Source organism: Homo sapiens, chromosome 12 (assembly GCF_000001405.40).
Source record: "Homo sapiens chromosome 12, GRCh38.p14 Primary Assembly".
Classification (NCBI taxonomy): domain Eukaryota; kingdom Metazoa; phylum Chordata; class Mammalia; order Primates; family Hominidae; genus Homo; species Homo sapiens.
This window is the reverse complement of record NC_000012.12, coordinates 53,506,521-53,534,455: the sequence shown is the minus strand read 5'-3', so window position 1 is coordinate 53,534,455 and position 27,935 is coordinate 53,506,521. Positions and strand designations below refer to the sequence as shown.

Genomic DNA, 27,935 nt, shown 5'->3' with positions numbered 1-27,935 from the left:
CATTACATGAAACTATTTGATAAAACTGGGACTGTTTTCCAATACCCAAGGAAAATAAGTCACTGAGATTATCTCTCAAAATAAATTTTTCCCCCATAAACAGAATCTTCTTTACCTTTTTAATAGACAAGCAAATATTTATTTGGAGGTAATACTTTTTGTTTTTTTTGGGTTTTTTTGAGATAGAGGCTCGCTCTGTCGCCCAGGCTGGAGTGCAGTGGTGCAATCTCGGCTCACTGCAAGCTCCGTCTCCCGGGTTCAGGCCATTCTCCTGCCTCAGCCTCCCGAGTAGCTGGGAACACAGGCGCCTGCAACCACGCCCAGCTAATTTTTTGTATTTTTAGTAGAGACGGGGTTTCACCGTGTTAGCCAGGACGATCTCGATCTCCTGACCTCGTGATCCGCCTGCCTCTGCCTCCCAAAGTGCCGGGATTACAGGCGTGAGCCACCGTGCCCAGCCGGGGGTAATACTTTCTTAATTTAAGGGTTTAATACTTCTTTAATCTAAAAAGAGCTCTTAAAACATTAGAAGTTCATTACAGTGTGGAAACCACACCCTGTAGAAGTCTATTGGGGTACTACTGAATGAAACACTGAAACCCATTAAGTCTCCTCAGTCCCAGTTAGGGTTCTTGGTCTTTGCCACCTCTAATTTTATTTGTCTGTTTGTCTTCACTCCTGGCACGGTACCCATGGGTTAAGAGGCTGTTGTCAGGATTCAGATTCTTAGAGCTTATTGTTCTCTGGACCCACTAGGAAAAATAAAAAGGGACAACTTCTTTTTGAGGCAGGGTAGAGCAAGCCATGGAAAGAAACAAGAGAAACATTCAGATTTGGCCATCATGTGACCTAACTCAGCTTTGCAAAATGACGACTTTGATCCAACTTCCCCTTTCCCAAGGCAAGCCAGTGGTAGGAATGTTTAATTGTTCTAAACCCTTTAATAGGATTAGCTTCCTACTATTTGAGTTTGCTTAATTTGCAAAGTATAAAGATTTTGCCATTTTTCTCCATCTATAAGGTAAGTTGAATAGGATTCCCTGCCTTCTCACCTTCATGAGGGTGTCAAGATTTTTACCATGCTGCCCTATACCTTCCCTAACTAGAGAAGACTGGAAAATCTTCTGTAATTATAAGAGGAAGATCCATGGACAAAAGGTCTGTGTTATGAGCATTTCACTTCATGTCTCCTCTAGGTCTCCCACTGGCTCCCTCCCTCTTGTCATGCATCTTGCTAATGGACAGACCATGCCTGTGTTGCCAGGGCCTCCAGTACAGATGCCGTCTGTTATATCGGTGAGCTCTGTAGTTGGGGCAGCCAACCCTACCAACATGGTAATCCTTCCCTTCCACCTGAATGGTCATAAAATACACATGAGCCCCAGGGAAATGTGGGCTCTGATCTATATTAGCTGAGCATGGCAGCCTGCCTAAACTCTTCACTAACCTCTGCCAATCCAGCACTATGGAACACTAGATAAAGACTCATCTGGACAATTGGCTCCTGGTCTAGGAATTGATCTTGCCAGCCCACTGATTAGTTGCTTTCACTTGGCACGTAGCACCTCCCAAATTGCCCAACAATTTCCTCAAGATAACAGCCCCAACCCTTCCCACAGAAATTGCCCCAACACTGAAGGATTAAATTCCCTACTCTGGTGCTCCATGGAGAAAGGTATTTCCCAGGCTGTCCCTGCACGCCCTATGGGCACATTGCACACAACAGGCCCTGATGTGCCAATCTCAAAAGCGCTTCATTTTAGGGAAACTGTTGCCCCACCGATGGTATTATGTTCCCTTCTCTTTTTTTTTTTTTCCTTCTCTCGATCCAGCTGGCCAGACCTGTGTCCATGGTGCCCAACATTCCTGGTATCCCTGGCCCACCAGTTAACAGTAGTGGCTCCATTTCTCCCTCTGGCCACCCTATACCATCAGAAGCCAAGATGGTGAGTACATCCCAGTCTGGGGCAATGTTGGCCTTTCTGAAAGAAGTGGGTGATACCAGCCTAGGTCTTTCAAGTGAGCCAAGCAAAGGAACCTTCTGGGGCTTGCAAAGCTAAGGACTCCCTGCTGTGGGGTCTGGAAAAGAAAAGACTCCAATTCATAGCTCCCATCTCCTCTCCCCACCTTTAGAGCCTGGTACATAGACCATGGCAGTGAAAAGAGGCAGCACAGATTGTTTGGAATGGAACACTTGCCGTTTTAGGGTGACAGATGGAGGGTGGGCGAGTGGGCAGGGGAGCTGGCCAAGAGGTGAATAGCTGCGTAACCAGCATTTGGCCAGGCTCCAGGAGAGAGCTTTCATCTGGACACTATTGCTTTAACAACCCCCAGCCCCCAACTGTGCCCAGGATGATAGCCAGGGAACAGAGTAGGCATTTTAGGGATCCAGGTGCACATTTTCTCTGCCTGTCATTTTCTCTTAATTCCTCTGTTAAGGGAGAACTAGAGTGGAAATTTTAGCTATCTATAAGGTCAATAATAAAATCTAAGGCCACTCTTCTCATCCTTGATAGAATCTGATCCTTAACAAGCATTTTTTCTTATCTTTGCCCACAGAGACTGAAAGCCACCCTAACTCACCAAGTCTCCTCAATCAATGGTGGTTGTGGAATGGTGGTGGGTACTGCCAGCACCATGGTGACAGCCCGCCCAGAGCAGAGCCAGATTCTCATCCAGCACCCTGATGCCCCATCCCCTGCCCAGCCACAGGTCAGTGGCTCTTACTCTTTATGTCATATCTTTATGACGTATCTTTATGTCATATCTATTGTTCAAGGAGCAGAAAATTAGAGAAGAATGGACTTCAGCTTTCTGGGTTTCTTCCTGCTTACTTTGGTTCTTGATGGCAGTTTGACTATAGCAAAACGTACCATTCTTTTTATTATTTATTCATTTTTATTTTAGCTGAGACCATCATGTAATAACAAAAACACACCATTCTTTATTCACCCTTGTGTTAGACTTTCATGCAAACAGACTGAGTAATGCAGAACTGTTGCAGCAGCGGCCTCGCTTTTTTTTTTTTTTTTTGAGATGGAGTTTCGCTCTTGTTGCCTGGGCTGGAGTGCAGTGGTGCAGTCTCAGCTCACTGCAACCTCTGCCCCCCGGGTTCAAGCGATTCTTCTGCCTCAGCCTCCCGAGTAGCTGGGATTACAGGCACCCACCACCATGGCCAGCTAATTTTTTGTATTTTTAGTAGAGGCGGGGTCTCACCATGTTGGCCAGGCTGGTCTCCAACTCCTGACCTGAGGTGATCCACCCATCTCGGCCTCCCAGAATGCTGGGATTCCAGGCGTGAGCCACCATGCCCAGCCCCATTTTTTCCATATATGAGTCATGGCTTAGTGTATCTGTAGAATCCTCTAAAATATGACAGAGCCTTACTTCAAGCCACACAGTAAACAAAAGAGGCTCCCCTAGTCTCTTTCCTATCTATTAAGTCTTAAATAAAAGTAATAACTTACCTGATAAGATTTTACAACAAAAACCATAACAATATATTAATGAAATGTGATGTTACAGTGTTAAGATACCTCAAAAAATAGGCTGGGTGAGGTGGCTCACGCCTGTAATCCCAGCACTTTGGGAGGCCGAGGCAGGCGGATCTTCTGAGGTCAGGAGATCAAGACCAGCCTGGCCAACATGGCAAAACCCTGTCTCTACTAAAAATACAAAAAATTAGCGGGGCATGGTGATGTGCGCCTGTAATCCCAGCTACTCAGGAGGCTGAGGCAGGAGAATCGCTTGAACCTAGGAGGTGGAGGTTGCAGTGAGCTGAGATCACACCACTGCACTCCAGCCTGGGTGATAGAGTGAGACTTTGTCTCAAAAGAAACAAACTAACAACAACAACAAAAATAAATAAATAAATAAAAATAAAAAAATATAAAAAAATAAGACACCAAAAAACACCTCATTACCAATTAAATCCCTTTTTATCACAAAGAAACTAAAATCCTAAAAAAGGCAGAGGGGTCCCATTTAGTTACCCATTTCTCTTCTCAAGGAGATCTCAGTTTTAACAAGATTCTTTGGAAACTGTATAGTCCTCAGTTTTCATATCATCTGCACTGAACAGGTGACAGCACCTGAGATTAGTTTCTAGAATTATACCCTTTGCCTGGCCCCTCTTTTCCTGATGTCACCACCTGCTTCATCAGTTATTGCCACATGTCCAAACATTTCATGGCCATATGCTACGGTAAAGCTTGGCCAACAACAAAAGCTTTCATTTGAGTTTTCCTGTTGGAAGCTAAGGCTGCCTACCCTCCTGTAACCCCACTGAAGCCAGTCCTGAAGATGGCAAAGCAGTAGCCGCCTTGCCTGAGTTGTGCTGCCTTCTCTCTTGGGGAAATGACATAGCTTCCTTTTTAGTTTTATTTGTTTATTTTTAAAATTTGTATTATAAATAGGCCAGGTTCAGTGGCTCACACCTGTAATCCCAGCACTTTGGGAGGCCGAGGTGGGCGGATCACAAGGTCAGGAGTTCGAGACCAGACTGACCAACATGGTGAAACCCCATCTCTACTAAAAAAAATACAAAGATTAGCCAGGCGTGGTGGCGCACGCCTGTAATCCCAGCTATTCAAGAGGCCGAGGCAGAAGAATTGCTTGAGCCTGGGAGGTGGAGGCTGCAGTGAGCCGAGATCGTGCCACTGCACTCCAGCCTGGGCTACAGAGCGAGACTCCATCTCAAAAAAAAAAAAACATATATATATGTGTGTGTGTGTGTGTGTGTGTGTATGTGTATATATATATGTATTTATATATATGTGTGTATATATATATGTGTGTGTGTATATATATATATATTATAAATAATAGTAGAGGGCCGGGTGCGGTAGCTCACAGCTGTAGTCCCAGCACTTTGGGAGGCCAAGGCAGGTCAAGAGTTCGAGACCAGCCTGACCAATATGGTGAAACCCGTCTCTACTAAAAATACAAAAAAAATTAGCCAGGCGTGGTGGCTCACGCCTGTAATCCCAGCACTTTGGGAGGCCGAGGTGGGCGGATCACAAGGTCAGGAGTTCGAGACCAGACTGACCAACATGGTGAAACCCCATCTCTACTAAAAAAAATACAAAAATTAGCCAGGCGTGGTGGCGCACGCCTGTAATCCCAGCTACTCAGGAGGCCGAGGCATGAGAATCGCTTGAACCCGGGAGGCGGAGGTTGCGGTGAGCCGAGATCGCACCATTGCACTCCAGCCTGGGCAACAAGAGTGAAACTCCGTCTTAAATAAATAACTAAATAAATAATATTAGAGACAGGGTCTCACTATGTTGCCCAGGCTGGTCATGAGTTACTGTACCTGAAGCCAGTCCTGAACATGGTAAAGCATGTCCAGCTTCCTCTTTTTATATATATATAATTTTAAAAGAGATGGAGACTCGCCATGTTGCCCAGGCTAGTCTCATACTCCTGGACTCAAGCAGTCCTCCCGCCTCAGCCTCCCAAAGTGCTGCGATTATAGGCCCTAGCCACCATGCCCAGCCCCAGCTTCCTTTTTAATCAACACTGATTCCTTTCCTTGTCGTTCTTCCCGTTTCTCTTGGCCTAGTCTTTCACCTCCATTCCCTGCATGACTTACTGAAATGCCTATGACAGAATAGGAACCTTTCCTTTCCCCTATTCTCCTAAAGAACTAATTTTTTCTTTTCTTTTGTTTTCTTTTCTTTTCTTTTTTTTTTAAGATGGAGTCTCGCTCTGTCACCCAGGCTAGAGTGCAGTGGCACGATCTCGGCTCACTGCAACCTCCGCCTCCCTGGTTCAAGCGATTTTCCTGCCTCAGCCTCCTGAGTAGCTGGGATTACAGGCAACCACTATCATGCCCAGCTAATTTTTGTATTTTCAGTAGAGACGGGGTTTCACCATGTTGGCCAGGCTGGTCTCGAACTCCTGACCTCAGGTGATCCACTCGCCTCAGCCTCCCAAAGTGCTGGGATTACAGGCGTGAGCCACCACACCCAGCCAATTTTTTGTATTTTAGTAGAGACGGGGTTTCACCGTGTTGCCCAGGCTGGTCTCAAACTCCTGAGGTCCGGCAATCCACCCGCCTTGGCCTCCCAAAGTGCTGGGATTACAGGCATGAACTACTGCACCTGGCCATAAAGGACTAATCTTTACATGTGCTCCAGTCAGCTAAAGATAAAGAGGAAGCCGAAATTCTCAGGAGAATTACTGTAAATTTCTTATACAATGAGAAACAGTGAACCAAGGCCTCTAGTTCATTAAATTGAGTTGGAAATTTCTTCTCCATTTTTTTATTTTGGGAGAGATAATATTAGTCTGAATTTTAAAAAATTATTTCTTGGCCGGGCAGGGTGGCTCACATCTGTAATCCCAGCACTTTGGGAGGCTGAGGCGGGTGGATCCCAAGGTTAGGAGATCAAGACCATCCTGGCTAACACGGTGAAACCCTGTCTCTACTAAAAATATAAAAAATTAGCCAGGCATGGTGGCAGGCGCCTGTAGTCCCAGCTACTCAGGAGACTGAGGCAGGAGAATTGCTTGAACCTGGGAGGTGGAGGTTACAGTGAGCCAAGATTGCACCACTGCACTCCAGCCTGGGTGACACAGCAAGACTCCATCTCAAAAAAAAATCATTTCTTAATTATCTATATTAATGGAGAATATAATTCAGTAGGGCCTAGAGTAGAGTACAAGATTCTTTTTTTTTTGTCAGAGTCTCACTCTGTCACTCTGGCTGGAGTGCAGTGGTGTGATCTTGGCTCACTGCAACCTCCATCCTGGTCTAAGCCATGCCTCCACCTCCCAAGTAGCCAGGATTACAGGTGTGCACCACCACGCCCAGCTGATTTTTATATTTTTAGTAGAGGTGGGATTTCACCATGTTGGCCAGGCTAGTCTTGAACTCATGGCCTCAAGTGACCACCTGCCTCGGCCTCCCAAAGTGTTGGGATTACAGGCATGAACCACCATGCCCAGCATCTTTTTTTTATTTGTTTTTGAGTCAGGTTCTTGCTCTGTTGCCCAGGCTGGAGTGCAATGGGACAGTCATGGCTCACTTGCAGCCTCAACCTTCTGGGCTCAAATGATCCTCCCACTAGAGCCTCCTAAGAAGCTGGAATGACAGGAATGCATCACCATGCCCAGCTAATTTTATTTATTTGTAGAAACGGATCTCACTATGTTGCCCAGACTGGTCTCTAACTCCTGGGCTCCAGTGATCCTCCCAACCTCGGCCTCCCAAAGTGCTGGGATTACAGGCATAAGCCACTGCGCCTGGCCTCACATGTAACTTTTTAATTTTTTTATTTTATTTTATTTTTTTGAGACAGGGTCTCGCTCTGTTGCCCAGGCTGGAGTGCAGTGGCGCAATCTCGGCTCACTGCAACCTCCACCTCCCAGGTTCAACCGATTCTCCTGCCTCAGCCTCCCGAGTAGCTGGAATTACAGGCATGCGCCACCATGCCCAGCTAATTTTTGTATTTTTAGTAGAGACGGGGTTTCACCATGTTGGCCAGGCTGGTCTTGAACTTCTGACCTCAGGTGATCCACCCGCCTTGGCCTCCCAAAGTGCTGGGATTACAGGCGTGAGCCACGGCGCCCGGCCCAACTTTTTTATTTTTTACTTTTTTAGAGACCGAGTGTTGCTCTGTCGCCCAGGCTGGAGTAGAGTGGTGCAATCTCAGCTCACTGCAACCTCCCCCTGCCAGGTTCAAGCAATTCTTCTATCTCAGCCTCCCAAGTAGCTGGGATTACAGGCGCCTGCCACCACACCTGGCTAATTTTTGTATTTTTAGTAGAGACGGGGTTTTGCCATGTTGGCCAGGCTGGTCTCGAACTCCTGACCTCAGGTGATCCACCTGCCTCGGCCTCCCAAAGTATTGGGATTACCAGAAGCCATCCTAATATTACCAGAAGCCATCCCAAAGTATTAGGATGACCAGAAGCCATCCTAATAACATAGAGTTGTTTTAACACACATTTTGTATGTTATATGTATTATCTACTGTATTCCTACAATAAAGGATGCTAGAGAAAAGAAAATATTAAGAAAATCATAAGGAAGAGACAATATATTTACTATTCATTAAAATAGAAGTGGAGTATCATAAAAGTCTTCATCCTCCTCATCATCTTCGCATTGAGGAGGAGGAGGAGGAGGAGGAGGGCTTGGTCTTGCTGTCTCAGGGGTAGCAGAAGCAGAAGAGGTGGAGAAGTTGGAAGGGGGGCCGGAGAAGCAGGTACACTTGGTATAACTTTTTTTTTTTTTTTTTTGAGACCGAGTTTCACTCTTGTTATCCAGGCTGGAGTGCAGTGGCTCAATCTCAGCTCACTGCACCCTCTACCTCAGGTTCAAGCAATTCTCCTGCCTCAGCCTCCCAAGTAGCTGGGATTACAGGCATGCGCCACCATGCCTGGCTAACTTTATATTTTTAGTAGAGATGGGGTTTCTCCATGTTGGTCAGGCTGATATCAAACTCCCGATCTCAAGTGATCCGCCTGCCTCAGCCTCCCAAAGTGCTGGGATTACAGGCATGAGCCACCATGCCCAGCTGGTCGGTATAACTTATTTTTTTAAATCTGCATGTAAGTGGACCTTTGCAGCTCAAGCCTGTGTTCAAGGCTGAACTTTTTTCTACAGATGGTTGACCTTTCTACATTTTAAGAAATTTTTGGCTTCTATTATAAAATTGGTCTTTCTTCTCCAAGTGCATCCCAACTAACAGAAAGGGATGATCCAAAAATGCTTTAGTGACAAGGAACTTCAGCTTGAACTTTAAAAACAAGACAGTCCTATATCACCAATTTGTAAAGGGATTAAACATTTTTTGTTTATAAACAAAAGGGGGTTCTTCAGTATGATTAATAACTGATTATAAATAAAAATAATACACTTATCTATATCTCCCCATAATAACTCATATGTCACTGTCAGTGAAATGGATAAGAACATTTGTCTCCATTTCTGAAACCTGTAATAGTATGTAATTGTTTGTACATATCACTTGTCCAAATCAGTGATTCTCAAACTTTTTTATTTCACAGTCTCCCTAAAAGTTCCCCTAAAATCCTCCCCCAATTCTGATTTCCCTGCCTATAAGATTCCCTTTTTGTTTTGTTTTGTTTTGTGAGACGGAGTTTCGCTCTTGTTGCCCAGGCTGGAGTGCAATGGCATGATCTCAGCTCACTGCAACCTCCGCCTCCTGGACTCAAGCAATTCTCCTGCCTCAGCCTCCCAAGTAGCTGGGATTACAGGCATACGCCACCATACCCGGCTAATTTTGTATTTTTAGTAGAGATGAGGTTTCACCATGTTAGCCAGGCTGGTCTTGAATTCCTGACCTCAGGTGATCTGCCCGCCTCGGCCTCCCAAAGTGCTGGGATTACAGGCGCGAGCCACTGTGCCGGTCAAGATTCCGTATTGTTAAGAAACAAAAAGTAACCGTGGTTTCATTTGTCTGTCTGTCTTATAAATAATCAGAGTTTCCAAATGAACTGTAGTTTGTCTAAGTATGAGACTGAGAAGACTGGAAGGAAATAGGAGGCAAAATTGAGGACTCCTACAAAAGGGAAGCTTGGGGACATAGTAATGAGACTTGCTGTGGTTACCAGAGGCTGGTATATCCTTTTACCAGATCTTACTACTCTACCTAACATCAGGTGTGATTTGGAAAGGATTAATGTTCCCATCAAGTAACCTCTCTTCCTTCCTGGGCACCAGGTCTCACCAGCTCAGCCCACCCCTAGTACTGGGGGGCGACGGCGGCGCACAGTAGATGAAGATCCAGATGAGCGACGGCAGCGCTTTCTGGAGCGCAACCGGGCTGCAGCCTCCCGCTGCCGCCAAAAGCGAAAGCTGTGGGTGTCCTCCCTAGAGAAGAAGGCCGAAGAACTCACTTCTCAGAACATTCAGCTGAGTGTGAGTGGGTCCTGGATGCTTATTGGAATTGTTGAAAATCCAGAAAGTGGGATGGAATCAGAAAAAAGTGGTACAATTTGATAGAAGATGGTAATTCTCTAATTAGGACAGATCTAGTTGTCCCATGAAGAATCTCTTAACGGTCAGAGTTGAAATCTCTTTCATAGGTATTGGTGAAGACACTCACCATCTACCCCCAAATCTCCTATTAGAGTCATCCTTAAACGCATTTGGATGAAGGAATTAGATTAAGCACCCCAGGGTGCTCTTTTAAATCATCTGTAGAATCTGACTGGGGTCATGAAAACCAAAAGGGAAATGTGTTTGCCCTAGATAATGCAGCTTAATAAAAGAGAGAAAGAAAAAAGTGCTACAAGCACAAATAGAATAATTATAATCTATAATCCATACCTTCTCTTGAATGTTATTTTTCCTTCTGATTATTAAAATATTAAATTTAAAAAGCAATATATAAATACATTTCTATTATAAAATATACACACAAATGTACAGAATAGAAACAAAGTCCCTCTTTAATCTGCCTTTTCTAGTCCCGTTCTCTTTCCTGTAGATACATTCAGTATGTACCTTCCAGACAGATTCATATTCCTAAATATTTTTTATTTATAGTTCTTGTGTAGGGCTGGAGGGGTTGTGTGCTTGTTTTAACATAAGCAGGTTAACAGTGTTTCCTGGAGATCTAGCCATGGATATGGGAGATCTACCTCATTCTTTTTAATAGCTGTATAGTAGTATATTCTGTAGTGTAGTGATGTTATAAGGTATGGATATTGATACTGCTCTAATTTTTTGCTAGAACAATGTTGCAATGAACATTGCATGCACCTGAGTAAACAGTTCTGTTATGTAGATTCCTAGAAGTAGGCTTTCTTAGTCAAAGAGCATGTGTATTACTAATTTCAGTAGAATCATATTTATCTTAAACAGGAGTAATGTTTCTATTATAAATCCTGACTTTTCACTGTAAGCAACTCCTGTCATTGAATTCATGACTATACTGGCCCTGGGCTCTGTGAAGCCTTGCTGGATCAGGAGTCTTGTCCCAATTCAGGGGAGAAAATCGAGGCAATATTCTGTCCTTCCTTTGGGAACAGCCACTGAGGGTGCAAGAGTAGAGGATGAATTTTCTTGATACTCTTTTCTTCCCTCCCTCCTCAGAATGAAGTCACATTACTACGCAATGAGGTGGCCCAGTTGAAACAGCTACTGTTAGCTCATAAAGACTGCCCAGTCACTGCACTACAGAAAAAGACTCAAGGCTATTTAGGTGAGTGGCACACAACCTAAGCTAAGTCAGTCAGTCAGTAAACTGCATGTACTGAGTGTCTCAACTGCTTATAATTTTATAACTCCATTCTGAATGTTCTGGGGACCCCACGCTGATGAGTGAGTGGCCCTTGTGGAGCAACCAGACCTAGAAAAAAAATGTTTTTGTAGACGATATAGAGCTAATTATCTGTTATAGTTGGGGGTTGAAGGGTAGCAATATTTACCGGGTGCATATTTTGTGTTAGGCATGCTACAGTCTTCCCAAGTCTCTCATGAAATGGATATTATCTACATTTATATGTGAGAAAACTGCACTCTGCACTCAGATTAGGTCATTTAGCCAAAGTTACCAAGCTGGGAAAGTGGTGAAGCCAAGATTTACATCTATGTTTTGTTTTGTTTTGTTTGAGACGGAGTCTTGCTCTGTCGCCCAGGCTGGAGTGCAGTGGCACGATCTTGGCCCACTTCAAGCTCTGCCTCCCAGGTTCACGCCATTCTCCTGCCTCAGCCTCCCGAGTAGCTGGTACTACAGGCGCCCACCACCATGCCCAGCTAATGTTTTGTGTTTTCAGTAAAGACGGGGTTTCACCAAGTTAGCCAGGATGGTCTCAATCTCCTGACCTCGTGATCCACCCTCCTCAGCCTCCCAAAGTGCTGGGATTACAGGTGTGAGCCACCGCGCCCGGCACATCTATGTTGTTTTTTTTTTGTTTTTGAGACAGAGTCTTGCTGTGTCACCCAGACTGGAGTGCAATGGCACGATCTCGGCTTACTGCCACCTCTGCCTCCCAGGTTCAAACAATTCTCCTGTCTCAGCCTCCGGAGTAGCTGGGACTACAAGCACCAGCCACCATGCCTGGCTAATTTTTGTGTTTTTAGTGGAAACAGGGTTTCATCATATTGGTCAGGCTGGTCTCAAACTCTTGACCTCAGGTGATCCACCTGCCTCAGCCTCCCAAAGTGCTGGGATTACAGGCATGAGCTACCGCGCCCAGCACATCTAGGTATTTCTTATTCCAAAGATACTGTCTTGGCCTAGAAAACACATAAACCACAGATGATACATTGGGATATAGGGTACATTTTATCTAATGATAGGCTGACGTTGGTTTCAGTTTGTAATCTATGAGTGCACATAAAATACTGCTAGAAGGCAATGGCCACAGAGTTGTGCTCAGGACATGTGCAATTCTGAAGTTAAAATTACTGTGAATAATTTGCCTATGGTCAATAAAAGCTAATAAATGCTAGTTTTCTTTTTACAAATTAAATTCATAGAACTATTGCTCTCAAACTTTGATATATTGTATTATTTTTCCACTGTATTATTTCAGAGATGTGTTCCCATAGAAAAGGAGTAACTATATCACCAATTTTAAACATCTCTACTTAAATTTTAATTTTAATATGTACTTCAGGGTGCATTCATTCATTAAGCAGATATTGATGGAATGTCTATTCTGTGCCAGTCACTGTTTTTCATGCTGGGGATATAATAGGGAACCAAATAAATTAGATTAAATCCCTGCCCTTGAGGAGCTTATATTTTAGTGGGTGAGACAGACAATAAACAAGATAAATAGGTAAAATATATGACATGTTAGATAACAGTAAATGTTAGAAGAAAAATAAAACAGGGAAGGGTAATATGAAATGTTAGCAGCAGGATAGAAATTTTAGATTAGGTGGCTTTTGAATAAAGACCTGAAGGAAGTGAGGGAGCTATATGCATTTATATGGAAGAAAAGTACTATAGGGAGGAGGATCAGCAACTGCAAAGATGCAAAGTCGCAAGGTACCTGGTACATCTAGGAACATCAAGGAGGCTCAGCTGGAGTTGGGGGTGGAGAGTAGTTGGAGACAAGTAGGGGACGTAATAGCAGCATTTTATGTAGGGTCTCATCAGTCATGGTGAGGATCTCAGCTTTTACTCCACACTGGGGGCCATTAGAGGGTTTTCAGCAGAAAAGTGATATAATTGATCTGACTAGGCTGGGCGCATGCCTGTAATCCCAGCACTTTGGGAGGCCAAGGCAGGCGTATCACCTGAGGTCGAGAGTTCGAGACCAGCCTGGCTAACATGGTGAAACTGCTTCTACTAAAAATACAAAAAATTAGCTGGGCGTGGTGGCATGCGCCTGTAATCCCAGCTACTTGGGAGCCTGAGGCAGGAGAATCACTTGAACCTGGGAAGCGGAGGTTGCAGTGAGCTGAGATGGTGCCATTGCGCTCCAGCCTGGGCAACAAGAGGGAAATTCCGTCTCAAAAAAAAAAAAAAAATTGATCTGACTTACATTTGAACAGGACATCAGGGGTACAAGGGCAGAAGCAGGCAGTCCACTTAGGGGCTGTTACGGTAATACAAGCAAGGGATGACGGTAGTGAAAGTGACGAGAGCAGGCTGAATCCAGGATATGTTTTGAAGTTAAAGTGATGAGAGCAGATGGGATGGTATATATGAGAAAAAGAATAAAAAATTACACCAAAGTTTCTGGCTTAAGCAACCACAAGAATGAAGTTGTCATTAATTGAGATAGGGTAAAGTGTAGGGGAAATGGTTTGGGAGGTATATCAGGAACTCAGTTTTGGACAAACTGAGTTTAAGGAGCCTATTAGGCTTACAGGTGGAGATGTCAAGCAGTCAGTTGGTTATATGGATTTGTAATTCAGAGGAAAGGCTGAAGATAAAACTCTGGGAGTCGGCAGCATATAGCTAGTTTTGGTTTTGTTTGGTTTGGGATTTTTTGGAGGCAGGGTCCACCTCTGTCTCCCAGGCTCTCAAGTGATCCTCCCCACTCAGCCTGAGTAACTGGGACCACAGGCGTGCACCACCATGCCCAGCTAATTTTTTTTTGTTATTTTAGAGATGATGTTTTGCCATATTGGCCAGGCTGGTCTCAGACTCCAGGACTTAAGGGATCTGCCCGCCTTGGCCTCCCAAAGTGCTGGAATTACATGTGTGAGTCACCACACCTGGCCATAGTTAGTTTTTAAAGCATTGAAACCAGATGAAGTTCCCAAGGGAGACAGCAGAGCTAGAAAAAGAGAAGTCCCAGGAATGAACCATGGGGTACTCCAACATTTACAGTTCATAGAAATGAGAAAGAACCCACAAGAGACTGAGAAGAAACAACCAGGAAGTGAGGAGGAAAACCAGCTACAGAGCCAAATGTGGTATTCTGTAAATCAAAATAAAAAAGTGTTTCAAGAAGTTCAGTGATTTTAAATCCTGTTGCTCGGTGGCTCACGCCTGTAATCCCAGCACTTTGGGAGGCTGAGGCGGGCGGATCACGAGGTCAGGAGATCGAGACCATCCTGGCTAACACGGTGAAACCCCATCTCTACTAAAAATAAAAAAAATCAGCCAGGCATGGTGGCGTGCATCTGTAGTCCCACCTAGTTGGGAAGCTGAGGCAGGAGAATCGCTTGAACCCAGGAGGCAGAGATTGCAGTGAGCCAAAATAGTGCCACTGCACTCCAGCCTGGGTGATAGAGCAAGACTCTGTCTAAAAAAATACCAAAAAAACAAATCCTGTTGATGGGCTAAAGAGGATAAGGACTGTTTATCAGTATATAATCTATATACGGTCAGTTTTCCACTTAGTCCCTGCAAGAACTCTGATACATAGTTAATCCATTAAACTACTTATTCTTTTTTTTTCTCCTGCCTCAGCCTCCCGAGTAGCTGGGACTACAGGCGGGCACCACCACGCCCAGCTCATTTTTGTATTTTTAGTAGAGACGGGGTTTCACCATGTTCCCCAGGCTAGTCTCCAATTCTTGGCTTCATGTGATCTGCCCACCTCTGTCTCCCAAAGTGCTAGGATTACAGGTGTGAGCCACCGCACCCGGCCTTACATATTCATTATAGCAAAGATGTATTTAGTTCCTGCTGTGTGGTATAGATATTATGTAAGTACCTGACACATGATGAATAAGACACTGTCACTACCTCTGAGAGAATCATAGGGTCATATAAACCTGTGGATGAGGTAAGGATAGATATCCCAGTTAAAAAGCCCCTAAACTGGGAGCTTCCTAAGGATAGGGTTCCCGTTTTCTTCTCTGTGTACCCATGCCTGGTACATGGATGATGCTCAGTAAAATGTTTGATGAATATATGCTGTGAAAACACAAAGAATAAAACAGTTAATGTACTGAGGGTAACAAAGATGGCTTCACAGAGGACGCAATATTTGAATCTTTTTTTTTTTTTTTTTGAGACGGAGTCTCGCTCTGTTGCCCAGGCTGGAGTGCAGTGGCACAATCTCGGCTCACTGCAAGCTCTGCCTCCCGGGTTCACACCATTCTCCTGCCTCAGTCTCCCAAGTAGCTGGGACAACAGGCGCCCGCCACCATGCCCAGCTAATTTTTTGGTTTTTTTTTTTTTTGAGTAGAGACGGGGTTTCACCATGTTAGCCAGGGTAGTCTCGATCTCCTGACCTCCTGATCCGCCCAGCTTGGCCTCTGAAAGTGCTGGGATTACAGGCGTGAGCCACTGCGCCCGGCCATATTTGAATCTTAAAAGAAGACTCAGGCATTCATCAGGATGTCAGAAATACAACTGACTATGGAACGTTTGCCTTTTTTCCACATATTTCTGTTTAAGCAGCCATAGAGGCTATCCGATGTTTAATAAAACTCCTTGACTTGCTGAGTGTGATGACTCATACCTGTAATCCCGGCAATTTGGGAGTCTGAAGCAGGAGGATGGCTTGAGGCCAGCAGTTGAAGGCTGCTGTGAGCTGTGATTGTGCCATGGCACCTCCAGCCTGGGTGACAGAGTGAGACCCTCTAAAAAAATTTTAAAAACATTTGACTAATGAGCAACATGGAGTTACCATTGTATGTAGCTCAGGTAGTTGTGTTTAGTAGTAAAATGTTAGTGTCACTTTAGGTGGAGTGGCATAACTTATAATGTTTTATAATCATTAATGCCTAGCTAATTTTTAGTCAGGAGGGTCTTAAGATTTCTTTGTAGTTTTACATGTTAACTGAACCCGGGCCAGGGACTGGCCATTCATAATATCATTTAATTATAGCTTGATATCTATCAGACTTACCTGTGGTACAACTACATGGTAAAGGAACATTAAAAATAATGGAATAGGCCTGCCACAGTGGCTCACGCCTATAATCCCAGCACTTTGGGAGGCCAAGGCAGGCCAATCACTTGAGGTCAGGAGTTTGAGACCAGCCTAGCTAACGTGGCAAAACCCCATCTCTACTAAAAATTCAAAAATTAGCCAGGTGTGGCAGTGTGCACCTGTAGTCCCAGCTACTCGGAAGGCTGAGGCACGAGAATCACTTGAACCTGGATGGCAGAGGTTGCAATGAGCTGAGATTGCACCACTGCACTCCAGCCTGGGCAACAGAGCAAGACTCAGTCTTAGGAAAAAAAATAAATAAATAAAATAATGGAATAATTCAGTTCCTGTGAGAATTAATCAAAGAGGATGGCTAAAAAGAGATCTATTTTAAATCATCTTTAAAGAAATGAAGGCCAGGCGCAGTGGCTCATGCCTATAATCCCAGCACTTTGAGAGGCCAAGGCAGGAGGATCACTTGAGACCCTATCTCTTAAAAACAAGAAAGAATAGAAGTAATGAATAATAATAAGAGTTGGTAATGAACTATGCAAAGACCTAGAAACCAGACAGTGTAATTAACATGTTGGAGATTCATTTTATTGGAATAGATAGGTTAATTTTGGCCTAGTTCTTCCCTTCTTACAACTTCCCATTTCCTAGCCCATTTATGACTTAGAAGCCAGGATTCTGGGAAGTTTTCCCCAAAAAAAAGATGGGTTTCATTTCCCTTTTGGGCTCCTTTAGAATTATGGCAAAAGGTAGTCCTGCCTCTTTCCCCATTCTGTTTTCTAACCAATTGCTCTCTGCTCTTTGCCCTCCTTCCTGGCAGAAAGCCCCAAGGAAAGCTCAGAGCCAACGGGTTCTCCAGCCCCTGTGATTCAGCACAGCTCAGCAACAGCCCCTAGCAATGGCCTCAGTGTTCGCTCTGCAGCTGAAGCTGTGGCCACCTCGGTCCTCACTCAGATGGCCAGCCAAAGGACAGAACTGAGCATGCCGATACAATCGCATGTAATCATGACCCCACAGTCCCAGTCTGCGGGCAGATGATGCCTCCTCTGGTGGAGAGGTCCTCAGCCAGAGCTCGCCCGCCCAAGAGCCAAGAGAGATGTCATCTTATCCCCTCCCATCTGCCTTGGACATGGCAATATGGGTGGGGGGAATTGTGTGTTGTGAGTAATGGACAGATATGGGGCTTTTTAGCCATGTGGTCATGTACGTTTGACACCTGTGCTGGGGGCCTCCCAGCCCCGGAGCCTCATAGATCATCCCCCAGGGTGGGGTTTCTGATGCATCCACAGCCAAAGGCCTTTCCAGATGGTCCGAACAATCACCCCTGCCCCATGCACGTGTATCTGTCTCTTTTAACACTAACCCTTGGCACTTCTAGGTTTGGGGTTTCTCAGTTCCCTCTCTTCCCACTAAGCCGTGGCTGTTACCTTTTTGTTCCTTACCAGCATGCCACTTCCTGCCAGATAGAGGGAGGCTAGATTTGATGACATATTACCCGCTGACCCAGCCCCAGCCACCCCATGGACTCAGGACTCAGGTCTCCCATAGCTGCTTATTTACCCGTTTCCTTTTTCCTCTTCCTTAATTCTAGTTAAAACATTCACTTACGGAGAATGTAAGGTTACCTTTGATGTATGAAGTAGCAGTATTTTCCAGTTTTTCCATAAGCTTTATTCCTTCTCTCTACCTGCCACCAAAAAGAAAGAAACCCTCAAGAGTTCTAATTCTTTTTCATCTATTTGCAGAGCTATTTGGGTACCTCATTTTGTCCCTTGACTTTAGTGTAGTGGTGGGGTCTTTCCCACCACCCCACTAAGCCTTGGCAACCTCATTTTGTGGCCTTATTATTAAAGATTGCTTGGTAGTGAAAAGGGAAGGGCCCAGAATCTGACTGGCTGATTCTGTCTCCTCCCCTCCCTCCTTCTTTAGTTTAACCATCAGGGCAGACAGGAACAAAGTATTTCAAAGCTTGTTCCATCAAGTTAGGGATTAATCGATTCCTTTATGTTTTATAAGAGTTTACCGGCCAAAGCATATTGTCATCTTTGGTCATTTTTCTGCTCCTGCTTCTCTCTCTTCATTCCCCTATCAACATTACCGCCCCTGTCTCTCTTCTGTAACTACTTCAGACTCAGCCCTCCTGGAGGCTGTCATGTAGGGGACTCTCGAGTTCCTTTGTTCTACCCCATCTCTCCCCCTCACACATCTGTCTGCTTTTCTGAGCTAGAGTCTTCTGTTCACAAGTGCCCATCACCGTCTGGACTATCTTCTTTCTCTTTCACCAGGTTCCTAGCTTAGCCACTAGGTCTTCCAGGTCCTCCAGAGTTTCTTCAACCCATTTCTTCTCTCTTCTCTTTACATGCAGTGCTCCAGGATCTTGAAGCGTCATAGCCAAGATGCTGAGTGGGTTTACTTGAGTATAAGATTGAAAGGAGGGAGGAAGAGGAGAGGGAAAGTGCAGAACTGGTCCCAGCAAAGGACCCCAGGTTCTGGCCTGGGAAATTGGTGACTATTGCTCTCAACCATTCTTACTTTGAAGAGTTGGGTTGCAGAGGGAGCAATTCATCTCTCTTGTCCCTCTTCCACGTTAAGGCTTCTCATCTCCCCTTGGCTCTGAACTATGCAGTTTCTACCAGGACCATAGGAAGCAATTCAGAGCCAGAGGCCTGTGGATAGATAGGTCAGCTTTAATTGCCTTTCCGTATGAAACCCTTCCAGTTGTCCCAGAGCCACTTTCTGCCATCTGTGCAAGCCAAGAATGTCCTTCTCTCCATCTTTCCTACCTCCATCTTAAACATACATACAAAATAACTGCCAGCTTCCTTTCTTATTTTGTCTCCAAAATTGACTGTCACAGGGGAATGAGAAAATGTTCTAAGCTACAAGATTCCCGTTTCCTTAAAGTGATATCCTGTCCTAGTGAACCAGTCAGGTAACAGGTTCTGCTGCATTTGTTTTAAATTTCCCCTCCTGCTTTTCAGAGCTGGTGCTGAACAGGCCACACCCCTAAAGACAAAGGAGAGAAAACACGGTTTTCTCATCCTCTACCATCAGGTACCCAACAGGAATAGGCCCTGAAGTGATTCAGACTAGCAAATGTTATGGCAGATGGTCAGGACGCAGGTTACCACATCCAGGGACTTCACTTTTGCCTTTAAAAATTCACAGCCGTAACTTGTGCTCAGGACTTCCCCTTTAGCTGGCTGCTCCCTGGGATTTTCTCCTGCTTTAGAGTTTTGTTTCATTTTTTTATTGTCTTGATTTCCCAGTAGCAGCCTTGCCCTAAAGCTTGACTGAGTTTATGGCTCCTAAGGAGCTTTCCTAAGACTCTTGACTATTTTTCTTCCCCCTTCAGTCAAGTGTTTTTACAGTTAAGAATTAATTTGTAACTGCATACATGCCCTGCCAGTCTGTCCCTGTGTTGGGTGGCTAATTTATGTAGCGGGTCTTTTTTATTTCTTAGCCCCCATGACTAATTATCTAGTCCTAACTTCATTTTTATCAGTGGGAAGATGTGTACGGGACCTCAGTGAGGAGCACTGCCAGAACCACAGTAACAAAATGGCACTGAAATAAGGAAGCAGCAGGTCAGAACCCCCTAGATAGTTCTTGAGTTGGTTCTCAGTCTCACTAAGGAGGCAGAATAATTGCTGCCCTGAAACTTCTCTGATAGTCAAAGGTAACTTCACTTACCTTGTTATTGCTACCAGCCATGTGGTCACTCTCCCCAAATCTTTGTCTTCCAGATCCATCTGGACCAGAACCAAACATCATGGAAGGTGTCACTTGGCCCTTCCTAAAGTCCATGGCGTTTCTAGAGGCCTAAGGGAGGACACTTTCAGAAAGGAGCTGAGTGTATGGTGGGTGTCCTGAATTCGTTCATGTGAATACAGGACTCAGGCTTCCCACCCCACTCCAATGTGAGTGCTCGATACACAAGCACTCTAGCTAGCTGCCACGTACCCAAGGCCACAGAGGGAGGGGACAGAACCAGGTCTTCTGGTCTGCTCACTTTCTGCCCCATTCCCCTAACAGAAAGTTTGCTTAGAGTTGAAAAGTCTAAGAAAGCCTCCCACAATACTAGAGAGGCCAACAAAAAAAAAGTCATGCCCCCTTTACTTACTCTTTTGCTGCTGGTTATGCATCTCAAATCTGACTTCCTTAGCCTTCACCTCCCTCCTTGGCCCTAAGCATTAGACCATGTACTCTAAGTAGTGGTTAAAGAGGGACTGAGCAAACTGAACCTCCTCTCGCTCACTTCTCTATCCCTGTTCTGTTGGTTTTGGCTCCTTTCTTGATTCACTGCCCTCTAGCACCACCCATCCTGGTAGATGGAGTGCTTAACCCCAACCGTGCCCTATGTACAGCCTGAACCACCAAACAGACACCAAAAAAATTCTTCCTGTGGTTTCTGGGGCTCCCCTGCTCCACACTGAGAGGCTCCTTAAAGGTGCTAGCCCCTGATACAGCTATCCCCGCCAGTTTTCTCCTTTTTTCATAACTTCCTTCCCATCCCCAAATCATTAATTTTTCATTAATATTGTACATTATATACACAGGAAGGAAATACATTATTTTTTTTAAATTTCATAACCAGCCTGTTTAGATTCCAGTCTTCCTAGCTATATCACATATGCCTTGTTGATATGCTCTTTCTGCTTTCTTTAGACTTAATGTTTGACGGGGGTGGGGGTGTCTGGAAGAACAGGAAAGGTGGGGATCCTAAGGCAGATTAAAGGACTCCCTCCACCCCACTACAGCCTCCCATAACTCTAGTCATCCCTCTCATAGTACAGGACTGATTTCTCTGTGTCTGTTTGTACACACAAATGTGCATACAGACATAAATTCCCCCACCCCATACCAAGGTGGTTACCTAGCAGGAATGAGCGTAGGTGGCTGCTGGCCACCATTACCACCGTCTGCATCAGCTGTGTTGTCTCTCTTTGGGGTAAAGTCCTACCCCAGAATGAGAAAAGGCTGGGGAGAGTAGGGCAGGTTAAAGGAGCTTATGTCCTCTGTAGATGTAGGTTTGTATCATAGCTACTAGGGTTTATTTTTTTAATGGGGGGCTAATAGCACAGAGTTATCTCACCAGCAGTAGCTACTGGTGAGTGATGTTTTAGCTGTAAGAAGTGGCTATGAGCAATAGTTTCACTGACTTTACCTTAGGGCAGTGCCACAGTAATCTGGGAACTTGTTAGAAATACACATTCTCAGGCCCCATCCCAGACTTATTGAATCACAGACTCTGGGGGCAGGGTTTAAAAGCACTCCAAGTGATTCTAATGCACACTAAAGGTTGAGAACCATTTCTTAGGGATAAGCTGGGAAATTTTTACAGGTGTGGAGGATATTTCAAATACATCTTTTGCCTTTGCACTAACATGCTTTCATTTCTTTCAGTCTCTTCCTCCATTCCCTTTAAAGTCTTCCCCATCATATCACTGATCTCAAAAGCTAGATTTGTCTTCATTTTAGTCGTATCCCTAAAACCATGCATTGGTCTGGACAGGAGTTGTCCCATATTCCCTTGCAGACTGGTCACTCCATGTTCTCTGTTACAGTAAGGACCAGCCAAGCTTCAGCTGTCCCATTCCTCCCCCTACAACACACACACCTTTCAGGCAGGGAGGAGATGAGCTTCCAGCCCCAAGAGTGGAGGCTGCCACATCCTAACATAGTATCTATTGAAAAGGAAGCAGTGTGTATCTATGATTATATCTCTGTTCATCTATATATTTTTGACATGTAGCAACACCTCTCCATCTTATCAAGGAACTCAACTCGGTCTGGGTCTCCCCAGTGCCCAGTGGTGGCCTTTGACAGGTAGGAGGATGCAGTGCTGCAGGCTATTTTGTTTTTTGTTACAAAACTGTCTTTTCCCTTTTCCCCTCCACCTGATTCAGCATGATCCCTGTGAGCTGGTTCTCACAATCTCCTGGGACTGGGCTGAGGCAGGGGCTTCGCTCTATTCTCCCTAACCATACTGTCTTCCTTTCCCCCTTGCCACTTAGCAGTTATCCCCCCAGCTATGCCTTCTCCCTCCCTCCCTTGCCCTGGCATATATTGTGCCTTATTTATGCTGCAAATATAACATTAAACTATCAAGTGAACCACTGTTATGTCTGATGCTTCACTCCTCTATCCACAGCCCCCATTGTCCCCTTTTCTGGGAGGTCACTGGCCTTTCATGTCTGTCATCTTCATCACTCCCCCATTTCTTAGGACAGAAGGAACAGGGATTTTTGTCTCTAGTTTTTATACATGGGAGATACAGCCTAGAGAAAGTGGATGATTTCTATAAATTACAAAGTATGACAGAAGGCCCAGGGCAGAGCTCCTGTGGACTGCCTTGGAGACAAGGGCCCTTGGCATCCTGGCAGCAAGTACTCACAGGAAACTTAGTATGTGCTTTATGTGGATGGCGGGTGGGAGAGTTGCTGATGGCAAATGGCCTTTTACTTTTCAGTGTTTTGTTGCCAACCCCCACCCAACCATTAAAAAGTGGCTGTTGTGACCAGGGAGCACACACACAGACAAAGACGGAAAGTATAGCTTTCTATGGTAAGGAGGAGGCTGGTCTGGAAATGAGGGGTAGAGTTTACTTAGAAGCAGGTAAGAAAACCGGGCATGGTGGCTCATGCCTGTAATCCCAGCACTTTGGGAGGCTGAGGCGGGTTGATCACCTGAGGTCAGGAGTTTGAGACCAGCCTGGCCAACATGGAGAAACCCCGTCTCTACTAAAAATACAAAAATTAGCCAGGTGTTGGTGGCGGGCGCCTGTAATCCCAGCTACTCAGGAGGCTGAGGCAGGAGAATCACTTGAACCTGGGAGGCAGAGGTTGCAGTAAGCTAAGATCGTGCCGTTGCACTCCAGCCTGGGCAACAAGAGTGAAACTCCATCTCAAAAAAAGCAGGTAAGAGTTCACAAGAAAAACAGGTAATGCTCAGAGACTGTGGGAATCAGGAAGAGGTGTAGGGAAATCACAGATAATTTATTGCATCTGTATATTCCTTTATAAATAACATCACAAATGAGAACAATGAGCCAGGCTGAAGAATTTGACAAAAGAGATAGCAGGTGTCTCTGGAGTTTCCCAGTAGGAGAGAAATGACTTAAGAAGCTATCTGTGGCTGGTGTTTGGTAGACACTTGACACAAATAGCCTGTGCCTCCTGAGGAGAGCAGGAAAGGCAGTGGTGGTCTTCACTGTGTTGTGGCCAGGAGCACATGGGTGTCCAGAGAAGGGTAAGAAAGGAAATTGCTGAAAGCCAAATACCAAAGCCCAGATTATGAGGTTTTGGAGGTTCCCACCACTGAAGCTGCACTCTGAAAACTGGGCAGTTTACAAAATTAGAGGAATCAACCCATTCCAACTTCAAAGGAGACCAGTTACCTCCATCCTGGACACAGGAAGCCAGCTAAACCAGCCTCTTTCTGAATGCAGCTCAGCCCAGAGCCACTTGTAATTGATGTTTAGAGAAATACTAGAAGCAGCAGGATGGTAAACATGGAATGGCTGCCCTATGCTACGTGGAATGGTAGATTGCTTTACTGTTCACCTAGTGATAACAGGAGTAGTCACTTCATTTTATTGATGATAAATTGAGGTTTAGCCAAGTCACACAGTGAAGTGCAAGAGCTAGGATTACAACTGAGTTCTGTCTGGCCCAGAACCAGCTCTGCAGTGTCCCATCCACCCTCACACCGCTGCTCCTCTGGACCTCTGTCACACAGGAGCAGACAAGGATCATTCTGGGATGCAGCAGCTACTGCCCACAGAAAAGCCATCTCCCCGTGGCCTTGATACTCCCTTTTAAGAAGTGGTAAACTGGCCGGGTGCAATGGCTCATGCCTGTAATCCCAAAACTTTGGGAGTCCCAGGCGGGCGGATCACCTGAGGTCGGGAGTTCAAGACCAGCCTGACCAACATGGAGAAACCCCATCTCTACTAAAAATACAAAACTAGCCAGGCGCGGTGGTGCATGCCTGTAATCCCAGCTACTCGGGAGGTTGAGGCAGGAGAATCACTTGAACCTGGGAGGCAGATGTTGTGGTGAGCCGAGATCAAGCCATTGCACTCCAGCCTGGGCAACAAGAGCAAAACTCCGTCTCAAAAAAAAAAAAAAGATAAAACTACAAGATACCATGATGATGAATGTCAGGTTTTGTGGTTGGGACCAACCATGAGACAAAGCTTACGAAAAGGTTTACCCTGGCTTAGTCCGCATTAACAGAAATATGGTATCTGGAGCATCCAGATCCAAACCTGCTCTAATCTACGTGTCTAAAGGATAAGTTGGTTCCTAGATGCCTTGCCTTAAAGAGTGGGGTGCTTCCCCTTGAGCAAAAAAGACTATGGAGTGGGCCAGGTGCGGTGGCTCACGCCTGTAATCCCAACACTTTGGGATGCCAAGGTGGGTGGATTGCTTGAGGTCAGGAGTTCAAGACCAGCCTGGCCAACATGGTGAAACCCCATCTCTACTAAAAATACAAAAATTAGCCGGGCATAGTGGTGTGTGCCTGTAATCCCAGCTACTTGGGAGGCTGAGGCAGGAGAATCGCCTGAACCCGGGAGGCAGAGGGGTTGCGGTGAGCCGAGATCGCACCACTGCACTCCAGCCTGGGTGACAGAGCCAGACTCCATCGTAAAAAAAAAAAAAAAAAAGCTGGAGTGTAAGAATGAACTCTCTCTTCAAAAATATGAAGAGCTTTTACACATGAAAGAGATGAGATGTTCTGTTGAGACTTAATGGAGCAAACTAAGACCCCGAGTAGAAGTCACAGGAAGCCCAAAGCCCCCTCGGCACAAGGATAAATATGTCCGAAGACTGTCTGAGGAGATGGTAAGTTCCCCGACTGGGGCACATGAGGCAATCACAGCTAACGTTTTGAGGATACCTGTTCTATGCAAGCTGTTTTATTGAATGGATTACAAAAAGTATGTTAAGTAATGCACACCCTAGGAAGGCGTTCCTTGTAAAATGGGCCCATGTTTCAGGTGAGGAAACTGAAGCTCAGAGCGGGAGACAGCTTGCTCAAGCAGAGGCCAAGGCCTTTACGTCATGGCTCTTCCTCAGCACAAGCTAGAGACCCACACTGGTGGGGATGCTCCAAAAGGGACTCGAGGATTAGAAGGAACCTGCACCATATGGCTTTGAAGGCCTCTCCCTGAGGATTAGTGATTCTGATTTTTCTTAAGACAGGATTCTAGGCTACTCTATATGAGAGCCAGGGCCAGGCAGAGGCTGTGGAGACCAGAGTCGGGGTCAGAATGATAGTCCAGCCCCACAGTAGCCTGCTCCTGTCCTTCTGGGACTCCCTGGAGACTGGACCCTAGCACCTCCACTCAGCCTCACCCTCCTCACTTCCTCTGCAGAGGTCTATTCTAGGAAAAGGAAATGGCCGGAGCTGGCAATGAGGAGCTGTGACCACAGGGTGGCAGCAGTGCTTCAGCTGTGGAGAGTGACTATAGGAAGGGCGATGAGGCAGGTCGGAAGCAGTGCTCTCTAGTGAGGATGGGGGTCTGTCTGCAAAGATTGGAAGCCACACTCATTCAGTGGGCTCCAAAATCCTGTAGCCTCCCTCTATATCTTAATAATTTTTTTTTTTTGAGACAGAGTTTCTCTTTTTGCCAAGGCTGGAGTGTAGTGGTGCCATCTCAGCTCACTGCAACCTCTGCCTCCCCGATTCAAGCGATTCTCCTGCCTCAGCCTCCTGAGTAGCTGGGATTACAGGTGCCTACCACCACGCCCAGCTAATTTTCGTATTTTTAGTAGACAGGGTTTCACCATGTTGGCCAGGCTGGTCTCGAACTCCTGCCCTCAGGTGATCCACCCGCCTTGGTCTCCCAAAGTGCTGGGGTTACAGGTGTGAGGCACTGCACCCGGCCAAAAAAAAAATGGTTTTTAATTAAAAAAAAAAAAGATACAGGCTGGGCATGGTGGTTGACGCCTGTAGTCCCAGCTACTTGGGAGGCTGAGGCAGGAGAATCACTTGAACCCAGGAGCCAGAGGTTGCAGTGAGCCGAGATCGCGCCACTGCACTCCAGCCTGGGCAAAAAGAGCGAAACTCCATCTCAAAAAGAAAAAAAGTTAAATTCTCTCCATCATCATGAAGTTGAATATATTTTTTCTATCCACAGGCAAATCTGAGTAGCCTCCAAGAGGCACACAAGCAGAGGATGGGCTGTGTTGCCCTGACTGCCAGCCCCAGGCACAGAGGACCAGGCCTGGTCATCCTCACAGACTCTGACCCTGGCTCTTCCCACTCCTCTTCCACTCCAGGACATCCTACTTAACCCCTCCTGACATGAGTTTCTTGTGCTTTAGTCTACAGGTTAGGAAAGAGGGGAAGTGATAAACAAGCTCTCCAACCTGTTGAGGGATTAGGGGTTCGTCTAAGGCTCCCCAGGGCCTGGCTCTGACAAAGCGTCTGCAACTAATGATGCTTCTTGAGCTCTGGAGACAGGATTTATGCATCTAATAAAGTCTGTAACTCCAGGCTTAGGGGCCGGGGGCAGGAGGCTGAGAGCATGAAGTCCTGGGGGCGCCATGGGAGGAGATCCCAGGTGGCTCCTAATGAGCCCTGCATTTCCATTTGCCTGCTCTAGATTCCCCTAAGGCTACTGTGAGGCTGGGGGTGGGGGAACAGCAGGTATAAGAGGTTGGGGTGGCTGTAGGAGGGTAGGTGGCAGCATGGATTCTAGGCAGGCTGCTGCACTGCTGGTGCTGCTGCTGTTAATAGACGGGGGCTGTGCTGAAGGGCCAGGAGGCCAGCAGGAAGACCAGCTCTCCGCGGTGAGTGTGTGTCCCATCCCCATATCACCATTGCCTCTACTTCGGTTGAGACTTGTGCTCTAGGTTCTGATACTTTCTCTGGCTGCCAAGGTTGTCATTAGGTCCTCACATCTGAGGAAATGGTTCCGCAGCCTCCTACCACTTGCCCCTGGAAGCCAGTCCCTTCCCCTTGTGACTTACGTGTCCAGGGTATTTGCCCATCTTCCTTCCCTGATACCCCCTTGGCACAGGAGGAAGACAGCGAACCCCTCCCACCACAGGATGCCCAGACCTCTGGGTCACTGTTGCACTACCTGCTCCAGGCAATGGAGAGACCTGGCCGGAGCCAAGCCTTCCTGTTTCAGCCCCAGAGGTGAGTCTGAAAGGGACACAAGCATGGCAGGGGCTGGGGGTGGAAAGGGCAGGAGGCAGAGGAAGAGGAGAAGGAAGGGGGCTAGAGAAGGGAGACTGCGGGGACCTGAGGACAAATCTTTCCTAAGGTTTGGCAGAAATACCCAGGGATCCTGGAGGAATGAATGGCTGAGTCCCCGGGCTGGAGAGGGGCTGAATTCCCAGTTCTGGAGCCTGGCTGCCCCTCAACGCTTTGGGAAGAAGTGACATGTCATCCCTTGATATGTCTGCATGCAAGGTCCACACCCAAAAGTGTCAATGTTTGCCCCCCAAATAAAATTGTCTGGCTTCTGAATCCATGTGTGTCTGTGTGAGACTTTACAGGGCTGGGTGGAAGCCCAAGGGCAAGAACCACTGCCCTTCCCCTCCACCAAACCCAGCCCTCCAGCAAGGCAGCCGACAACATTCCACGAGGCCACTGTGCCCAGCCTCCTCCCACCAGAAAGGAAAACAGGAGAATGG

The 27,935-nt window shown here is 46.0% G+C and overlaps 3 protein-coding genes and 1 long non-coding RNA gene across 13 annotated transcripts in view, besides 4 other annotated features; 3 read left to right on the top strand and 1 right to left on the bottom strand.

The window, feature by feature from the left end:
• ATF7 (activating transcription factor 7) overlaps window positions 1–26,600 on the top strand; it is a 118,527-nt gene extending 91,927 nt beyond the window's left edge. For 6 of the 7 annotated variants that reach the window (NM_001366561.2, NM_001130060.2, NM_006856.3 and 3 more), the window contains 6 exons: window positions 1,197–1,296; window positions 1,833–1,946; window positions 2,560–2,712; window positions 9,695–9,892; window positions 11,072–11,180; window positions 17,102–22,402. In NM_001366561.2, coding sequence (NP_001353490.1) covers window positions 1,197–1,296; window positions 1,833–1,946; window positions 2,560–2,712; window positions 9,695–9,892; window positions 11,072–11,180; window positions 17,102–17,319 — 892 coding nt within the window. In that variant the 3' untranslated portion in view covers window positions 17,320–22,402. Of the gene's footprint in view, window positions 1–1,196; window positions 1,297–1,832; window positions 1,947–2,559; window positions 2,713–9,694; window positions 9,893–11,071; window positions 11,181–17,101; window positions 22,403–26,428 lie in introns of those variants that run through there. The other variant, NR_073163.2, reaches the window with a different exon arrangement.
• Window positions 1–27,768, top strand: part of ATF7-NPFF (ATF7-NPFF readthrough) — a 119,695-nt gene extending 91,927 nt beyond the window's left edge. Inside the window, exons 7-15 of one of the 3 annotated variants that reach the window (NR_159377.1) lie at window positions 1,197–1,296; window positions 1,833–1,946; window positions 2,560–2,712; window positions 9,695–9,892; window positions 11,072–11,180; window positions 17,102–17,441; window positions 26,429–26,622; window positions 27,314–27,435; window positions 27,563–27,768. Coding sequence is in view for 2 of the 3 variants with exons in the window: in NM_001366559.1 (NP_001353488.1) it covers window positions 1,197–1,296; window positions 1,833–1,946; window positions 2,560–2,712; window positions 9,695–9,892; window positions 11,072–11,180; window positions 27,314–27,435; window positions 27,563–27,598 (832 nt within the window). In the remaining variant the exon portion in view is untranslated. The remainder of the gene's footprint in view (window positions 1–1,196; window positions 1,297–1,832; window positions 1,947–2,559; window positions 2,713–9,694; window positions 9,893–11,071; window positions 11,181–17,101; window positions 17,442–26,428; window positions 26,623–27,313; window positions 27,436–27,562) is intronic. The other 2 variants (NM_001366560.1, NM_001366559.1) reach the window with 2 other exon arrangements.
• Window positions 16,848–20,472, bottom strand: ATF7-AS1 (ATF7 antisense RNA 1). The gene is made up of 3 exons (NR_046221.1): window positions 20,405–20,472; window positions 19,975–20,103; window positions 16,848–18,947 (listed from the first exon to the last, which is right to left on the bottom strand). It is a non-coding gene; the product is annotated as an ATF7 antisense RNA 1 (long non-coding RNA).
• Window positions 16,868–17,367: an enhancer, noted in NCBI's record as "H3K27ac hESC enhancer chr12:53910873-53911372 (GRCh37/hg19 assembly coordinates)". NCBI's record gives its function as "activates a minimal SCP1, AML or CMV promoter by ChIP-STARR-seq in primed H9 embryonic stem cells {active_cell/tissue: H9 hESC(primed)}" and the evidence as "EXISTENCE:reporter gene assay evidence [ECO:0000049][PMID:30033119]".
• Window positions 18,334–18,575: a silencer, noted in NCBI's record as "fragment chr12:53909665-53909906 (GRCh37/hg19 assembly coordinates)". NCBI's record gives its function as "represses an EF-1alpha promoter that drives an FKBP-Casp9 reporter gene in an ReSE screen in K562 erythroleukemia cells {active_cell/tissue: K562}" and the evidence as "EXISTENCE:reporter gene assay evidence [ECO:0000049][PMID:32094911]".
• Window positions 25,187–25,419: a silencer, noted in NCBI's record as "fragment chr12:53902821-53903053 (GRCh37/hg19 assembly coordinates)". NCBI's record gives its function as "represses an EF-1alpha promoter that drives an FKBP-Casp9 reporter gene in an ReSE screen in HepG2 liver carcinoma cells {active_cell/tissue: HepG2}" and the evidence as "EXISTENCE:reporter gene assay evidence [ECO:0000049][PMID:32094911]".
• Window positions 25,557–25,851: an enhancer, noted in NCBI's record as "tiled region #3466; HepG2 Activating DNase matched - State 12:CtcfO, and K562 Activating DNase unmatched - State 8:EnhW". NCBI's record gives its function as "activates a minimal TATA promoter and a strong SV40 promoter by Sharpr-MPRA in HepG2 and K562 cells {active_cell/tissue: HepG2 | K562}" and the evidence as "EXISTENCE:reporter gene assay evidence [ECO:0000049][PMID:27701403]".
• Window positions 26,972–27,768, top strand: NPFF (neuropeptide FF-amide peptide precursor). Of its 2 annotated transcripts, NM_003717.4 has the most exons (3): window positions 26,972–27,083; window positions 27,314–27,435; window positions 27,563–27,768. In NM_003717.4, exons 1-3 carry the CDS (start codon window positions 26,982–26,984, stop codon window positions 27,678–27,680), a joined length of 342 nt encoding a protein of 113 aa, NP_003708.1. In that variant the 5' UTR covers window positions 26,972–26,981; the 3' UTR covers window positions 27,681–27,768. The 2 variants fall into 2 exon arrangements, with proteins under 2 accessions (NP_003708.1, NP_001307225.1); NM_001320296.2 differs by having other exon boundaries at window positions 26,972–27,435.
• Window positions 27,769–27,935: the final 167 nt, after the last annotated feature.

Excerpts from the sequence above, each read along its gene's own strand:
- NPFF (NM_001320296.2), top strand. The coding sequence starts at position 27,203 with ATGGTTCCGCAGCCTCCTACCACTTGCCCCTGGAAGCCAGTCCCTTCC. Across the intron at positions 27,436-27,562 it reads TTCCTGTTTCAGCCCCAGAG|GTTTGGCAGAAATACCCAGG; the intron begins GTGAGTCTGAAA and ends ATCTTTCCTAAG.